This window comes from Homo sapiens, chromosome 12, assembly GCF_000001405.40.
Source record: "Homo sapiens chromosome 12, GRCh38.p14 Primary Assembly".
NCBI lineage: Eukaryota > Metazoa > Chordata > Mammalia > Primates > Hominidae > Homo > Homo sapiens.
The window spans coordinates 4,797,028-4,804,040 of NC_000012.12; positions in this window are offsets into that span (position 1 = coordinate 4,797,028).

Here is a 7,013-nt window from a genome sequence, read left to right on the forward strand (position 1 = left end):
CCCCTTCCCTGGACTCTGGCTACTGCACTGTTTCCTAAACCTGGGTTTGGCTGGAAACAACACCCAAATATCAGAGAGGAGGATGCGTGGGAGAAGGTGGACTGTGAAGGGCTTGGGCCGGGCTTTCACCTACAAAAAGAAATGGATGCAATGGACATGCTCCAAAGAAGGGCAAGACAGGTCCCCTTCACTTGCTCACTTGCCTCACATCGCTGCTGGCCCCAATCCCCAAACGTCCCAGCAGGTCTATGTGGAGTCCGTGCTCTCAGCCCATCGCAGCAGCATCACCCCTCTCTGTTATCAGGAGTCTGGCAGCCTCTGTAATTTGTGTCTGGGAGGAAATGAGATCCTCCTTACACAGGGCCATTTCCAGGCTTCCTGAACCACTGAGAGTGCTGGAGGAGGAGGGGATGAATATTTTATAAAAGGCCATAAAACATAATTTGTTCCTTTGAGTGAATTAGAGACTGTAGTTAAAAAAAGAGAGACGTTACCATCAGTGGACCAGGAGTTTTGCATTATTTAGCCCCAGCTATTTCATTACATCTGTAAAGCAGGAGAACCAGAACATTAAAATCACACCCTTTGCTCCTCAGGAAGGGAAACAGAATCTTTGAGGCCCAAATACATACAACATAGACTCACTAGGCAAGGAGCAGCGGCTACCTGCCTGGAATGTGCTCACAGGGGTGACATGAATGCTTCGGGTGGAAACAGGCAACCAGCCTGTCCAGCTCACCACACTGCTCCCATCTAATTGCATCAAAGGGGGAAAGGTGAGCCAGTGGACCTAGCGGGGTCTTCCTTTTCTGTTAGGATCTTCCCTAACCTCCCCTTTCCTCCTTTCCTGAAGCAATTTCCTTTCCTTCTCCCAGACTGGAAGGGGAACTTGAGCCCCGAATAGAGAACAGCCTAAAAGTGGACATCAGACATCCCTGTTCCAGTCTCTGCATCCCACCAGGAATAGTGCCTCACAAGTAATGTCTTTGAGACCTTGCCTTCCCATCTTCTTTCGGGGACCTGTCCTATTCAACAGATATTTAGTCTTCTCTAATTTCTTCTCTTTTTCAACCATAGGCTTTTCCAAATGTCTGACTCTGGGAGAAAACTGAAAATCATTTTTTTTGATGCAAAGCAATTTAACTTCCTTTGCCTTAAGGTCTCCATCACGAACCATATCCTAGTCTTGACCATTCTTAACCATAAAGTCCTTTAGTTTGTTTTCAGAACTAAAAATACCTTTTTACCCCATGGATTCCACATCTACCAAAATAAGCAATAGATATGAATTTTAAAACTACAATTTCGTTAACTGTGCCAAAGGCTTAAGATCAATCTCTTGGAGATCATATTCAAAGAACTTATGCTTCCTTCCAGTGGTAGAAGAGGCAGGAAAATATTTTCCTCATTTTTACAGAACATGCCCTGAAAGTCATGGCTTTTTTGTTCTTCCATGGACTGGCATTTGGTATTCCTTCCCTTTGTGCCTGCTATTTGGGGCAATTCCTGCAATTGAACGTGGCTTTGTGTGTCTTGTCCAGCTCTCCTTCCATCAACCCACTCCTCCCTTCTACACACATACACACACACACATTCTGTCTCTCCCTCTTTCTCCCTCTCTTTCTCTCTCTTTCTCTCCCCTCTCTCTCTCTCATGCACACATGCGCAGCTGCATAGAATTTGCTTCTACTCCATCAGTGCCTTGAGAGGGGATGGTGTTGCAGCTGAAGAGAGATCCTTTTGGACCTGTGTCATTCCTTATATCACCTGCTTAGTAACAAGTGCTCTCTGCACATAAGCCACCTGGTCCTTTGTCTCTTCTTCTTGGTTGCTTGATCCTCCTTCTGTCCCTCATTGTTACTCATTAACTTACATTTATCGAGCACCTGCTTTGTGAAGGACATTGTGCTAGGCCAGGGGGAGAAGGTATAATAACAGGGTCTTTGTCCTCAGGATCCTTGGAGTCTATGAGAAACTTGTGATTCTCTCTGACCTGCCGCTTTGTCCTGGGAGAATTTGCTATTTATGACCTTTTGGGGTAGAGTAATCCTGCTGAACAGGGAATTAAGAGATCTAGATTTCAGTCATTGTAGCCATTAAGACTATGGAAAAGTCATTTGCTCACTTTATACTCTGATTCTGGCATCAGCAAAATCATGCAGTTGTTTGAGATGAGGTTCACCATCCCTCCTTAGTGCTTGATTTCTATGATCTTATGTTCTTATGTTCTATAATACACAAGTGCCTCCGAATGTGAGGCTTGGTGAGAATAGGGTTTTGTGGTTAAATACATCTGGGAAACATTGGGTTACATAATGTTAAGGGATGTATCAGAGGCTTTACTATTCTAATGTCTATTGTGAGGCTCTCTGAGACAAAGTGTAAGATTCCTAAACTCCCTTCATTGGGGTGGGTGTTTATAAATATCAAATCAATTTTTTATCAAACTAATTTCTTTTTCTTCTGAGTTAAAGAATTTACATCTCTAGGTGGCTGGTTCTTTGATCGGGAGTGGAACCCAGATCACGGCAGTTTGGAATCCTAACCACAAGGCTACAGGGTGGAGTGCCTTGTCTGTGTAAATATCTATCAACATGGTGAGAACTAGAATTGTGTAGAACACAGTTTGGGAACATGAAGAAAGAGAGCTCCCCACATGGGCTCTGGACTCAAGACTGAGCGCATTTTTTGAAGGGTCTCACCGTGTCACCCAGGCTAGGGTATAGTGGCATGATCATAGCCCCACTGCAGCCTCCAACTCCTCGGTTCAAGTCATCCTCCTGCCTCAGTTTCCCAGGGTGGGACTACAGGCATGTGCCACCATGCCTGGATAACTTAAAACAATTTTTTTTTTTTTTGTAGAATGGCTGCATTTGAAGCCTGCTCAGGTACCCACTAGCTCTGTGAGCTGGTAAATTAAACTTCCTGTCCTTCTGTTTTCTCATTTTTAAAAGGAGGCTAGGAAAAGCTTCTACCTCATACCTCTTAGCAAAGTGCTTGGAATGCAGTATGCATTCAAAAAATGCTTATCATTAGCTATTACTATCTTTAGTCAATATTTATTGAAAAGTTAGTAAACAGAAGAAAGTTACAACATTTTATCATAAAGACTTAGCTACTGTCCATGACCCCATTGGAGATGCAGATAGGACACCAGAGTTAGACAACAGGTTGCTATCATTTCAGTGGTAGAGTTAGGTCAGAAAATGGACAAGGAAGAGCAAAAATTCAGACCAGTTTAATATAAACAAAGTGAAGATCTCTGTAGAAAGCTGTGGTAGGAGGAGAAGTAAGCAATAGTAAGAATGAAAAAGTTGGCCAAAGTTAGGCTTTTGAAATTAATTTCATGATCCATGTTCAATTCTCTTCTTCTAGGCATAGAAAATAGAATATTAATGATCTCTGTATTGTATTTATCTTCCAAGCAGGAATGCAAGTAGGCATATTGGTCAGGAGAGACAGGGTTATGCTGCAGTAACAAACAGCCCACAAAGCTTAGTGGATTATAGCAAAGGACTATTTACTGCTCAGACTACATAGCCATCCCTGGCATTCCTAGGGTTCTGGTCTATGTCTTTCAATCTGGGTTGTAGGCTGATGGGGTTGCTACCTTCTCAAGTGCTATGGATCATTATGGCAGAGGAAGAGAGCATTGGCAATTAAGTGCTGCAGGCCAGATATGACACATGGCACAACTTATCAGCTAGAACTAGTCACATGACTCTCACTCAATCACATGAAAACCAAGAAAGACACAATCTTACCATGTACCCAGGAGGTGAACAAGCTGGAAATGTTTGTCAAATAGCAGCAATGACTACCATTGCCTGCCATTAGGGTCACAAAATGTTTGTCTCCCCCAGGCAAAATCCACTTACTTACTGCCTAAGGAAGACAGCCTAAAAGTCCTACCCAGTCCTGGTATCAAGCTGAAATGCTAGGGTCTCTTGTGGTGTGTAACAGGGCAGTTTTCACCTTAGGGAGCGGCATGTTCTAGTCTCCACATCAGGTGTGAATGTGGATCCTTTCCTTTCTGAGACTTAGGCTCCAAAAAGATAAGTAATCGTTTCTTTCCCACAAGACAAGAAAAGATTCATTTGAAGTAGGACAACTGCAATCAATATTCTCATTCAGAAAGGGGGAAGACTAGGGAAGCACAGCAGTCACTGGTCCATAACGACTCTGAAATCCTGTGAAACACAATTCGACCCTCACTTAGCTGCCTGGGAGTAGATCCCAGCCCACCGTTCTCTGCTTATGGATTGTCCCTCTGGAGGGTCTTCTTTCTGTTGCCCTCCTTGCTCCTATCAGAGATGGGAATTGCAGATGATATTGAGCAGCTTTCTTGGCCGGCTTCTTGTCCATGATAATTTAGGGGCCCAACGGTACATTACATTTTGAAAAGTCGTGAATGGTTTCGTTCAGGTCATGGTTCCTTTGGCAGGATGACTGTCTGAAAATCTTCTTAGGCTTTTTCCTATGTGTTTCGGGCAGATCTATGTACTGATAGCCAATAACCACACCTATGGTTACAGTTGTTATCCTATTCTAAAGGAGCCATTGTATGTCGTGCTATGGGATAGAGGCAGATAATTTGTCTTTTGGGTTTTTAAGTCTCTGAATTGCAGAAATCCATATTCAAAACTGATGTAGAGACTAGCACATGTCACTCCTTAATATAAAAACTACTACGCACTGCTAGAGAACCTAGCATTTCAGCTTGATACCAGGACTGGGTAGGACTTTGGGGTTATCTTCCTTAGGGAGTAGGTAAGTGTATTTTGCCTGGGGGAGCCATGGTTCTTCTCAACTTGAACCTAACAGCAATAATTTGGGTATATATATTATTTGTGGGATGTTACAGCTTTAGTCTTGTTTTTTCTCTCGCTCTTACTTGAGCCAGTTTGCCCAGTTTGAATGATTTTTTGAAGCCATAACTTCAATTAAACTTTTGCCCTAAATGACTTATTCCATTCAGAGGAACTGACAATGGACATGACTGCCCTGTGCTTGATTTGTTCCATGGCATGAGCTGAAGCACTCATCAGTCTTTCTTGTATAAAGGTCTTTTAAGTTTTGTTTACTTCTTTGGGGAATGAGAAGCAGCTGTCTCTGTCTACACTGAAAATCCCCACATTTCTGGACTCTCTCCTGTCCATTTCATCTCTGCTTTCTGGCCAAATCTTTTCTGAACTCATCAATATCTTGCACTACATTGTCAGATGCAGCCAGCAGTGGCCACCATACAATATAACAAGCTGTTTTTCAACCATCTTCCTAGATATGCAGGATTTTAGGGATATAATCTGCTTTCTAAGTTATCACAGATGACAGTTTTCAGAATATTTTTCCATTTGTAACATGGATTGCCTGCAATGGCCTCCTATAAAATTTCTTCAATACCTGTCATCTGGCCACAGAACCAATGTCACAAGTATTTTTTTAATTTTTAAAATTTTATTTATTTATTTTTTTGAGACGGAGTCTCACTCTGTTGCCAGGCTGGAGTGCCGTGGTGCAATCTCAGCTCACTGCAACCTCCGCCTCCCAGGTTCAAGCGATTCTCCTGCCTTAGCCTCCTGTGTAGCTGGGACAACAAGTGTGTACCACCACACCCAGCTAATTTTTGTATTTTTAGAAATTGGGTTTCACCATGTTGGCTGGGATAGTCTCGATCTCTTGACCTTGTGATCTGCCCACCACGGCCTCCCAAAGTGCTGGGATTACAGGTGTGAGCCACCATGCCTGGCCATGTCACAGGTTTTAACTTTTTACTTTTGGCAGCTTCTTACTTCAGTTTGGGTAGACTTGATTCTGCTATGGGAAGAAATCAATCCCTGAATACCAGAGGATTAGAGCAATAAGGGTTTGTTTCTCACTTATGCTACTATTGCTTCGGCTGGGGGCCAAGCTTCCTGCCACCTTACCCTGTAATGCAGCTCACTCTGACAGAGCAGCCACCATCTTGAACAAAGCTGGTCATTGTGGCTGGCGTGAAGAAAGCTCTGGGGGCTTTCCCATGAGGAATTAAATATTTTGGTTCAGAAGTGACACATACCACTTCTGCTTATAACTCACTGTCCAGAACTACTTGCCTGGTACCACACAGCCACAAGTGAGTGAGACAGTAAAATTCTCCATGTTCCTGAAAAGTAGAGAGCTGGAGACATTTGGAAAACAGCATTAATGACTATCACAGGAGGAGAATTGGATGAAGATGTAGGCTGCAAACTTAGGATACTAACAAGCTCTCTTGGGATCCTCCCCGAAAGGATAAGGAGTTCGTTATAGATTTATTTCTTGGCATGGATAGTAATTTCCTGAGGCTGTTGATTGGTGTGGCACAGATGTCTAATGCATTTCTTTTCTAATATACAGCTTCACCCAAGCGAAAGCTGTTAGATTTTTCTCTACTGAATTATGGAACATCATCATCACCATCACTACTTTGTAACTGACATCATCGTCCTCATTAAAAATTGGACTAAGCAGCTAATTATAAATAGTGCTTTTGTATAGCACATGTGTTTTCATTTGTCCCCCTGACTCCATCCACTTGGCCACAGGGGAAGCCCAGGAGGAGGGAAATGGCCACAGTGCATCCAGAGACGAAATGAATAGAAGGGAACTTCAGGTCAAAGCGTTGTGCTATCAAGTGTTGGCAGGGAACATCAATGAGTTTGTGGAACCAGTGGGTGCTACTGCAGGAAATTAACCCTCGAAGTTCAAGATATCTGACTTCTTTTTAATGTAACTCTCAGATGACCAAATTTTTGGTGTGTGTGTGTGTGTGTGTGTGTGTGTGTGTAGAAGGAGGGGAACAAAAGGAAAACAGCAAAAATTGACTGCAAAGTATAGAATTACCCGGTCATCCATTTTTCTCCCCTTCTTCCCCAGGATTCAATGCTGTCTTCTCTCTCCAGCAGAAAAAGTAGGAGAAGGTTAAGAGAAGGAGTAAACATGACCCAGACCCTGGGGAAAGGGGTGAATGAGGGGACCAGAGAAGGGAGTTG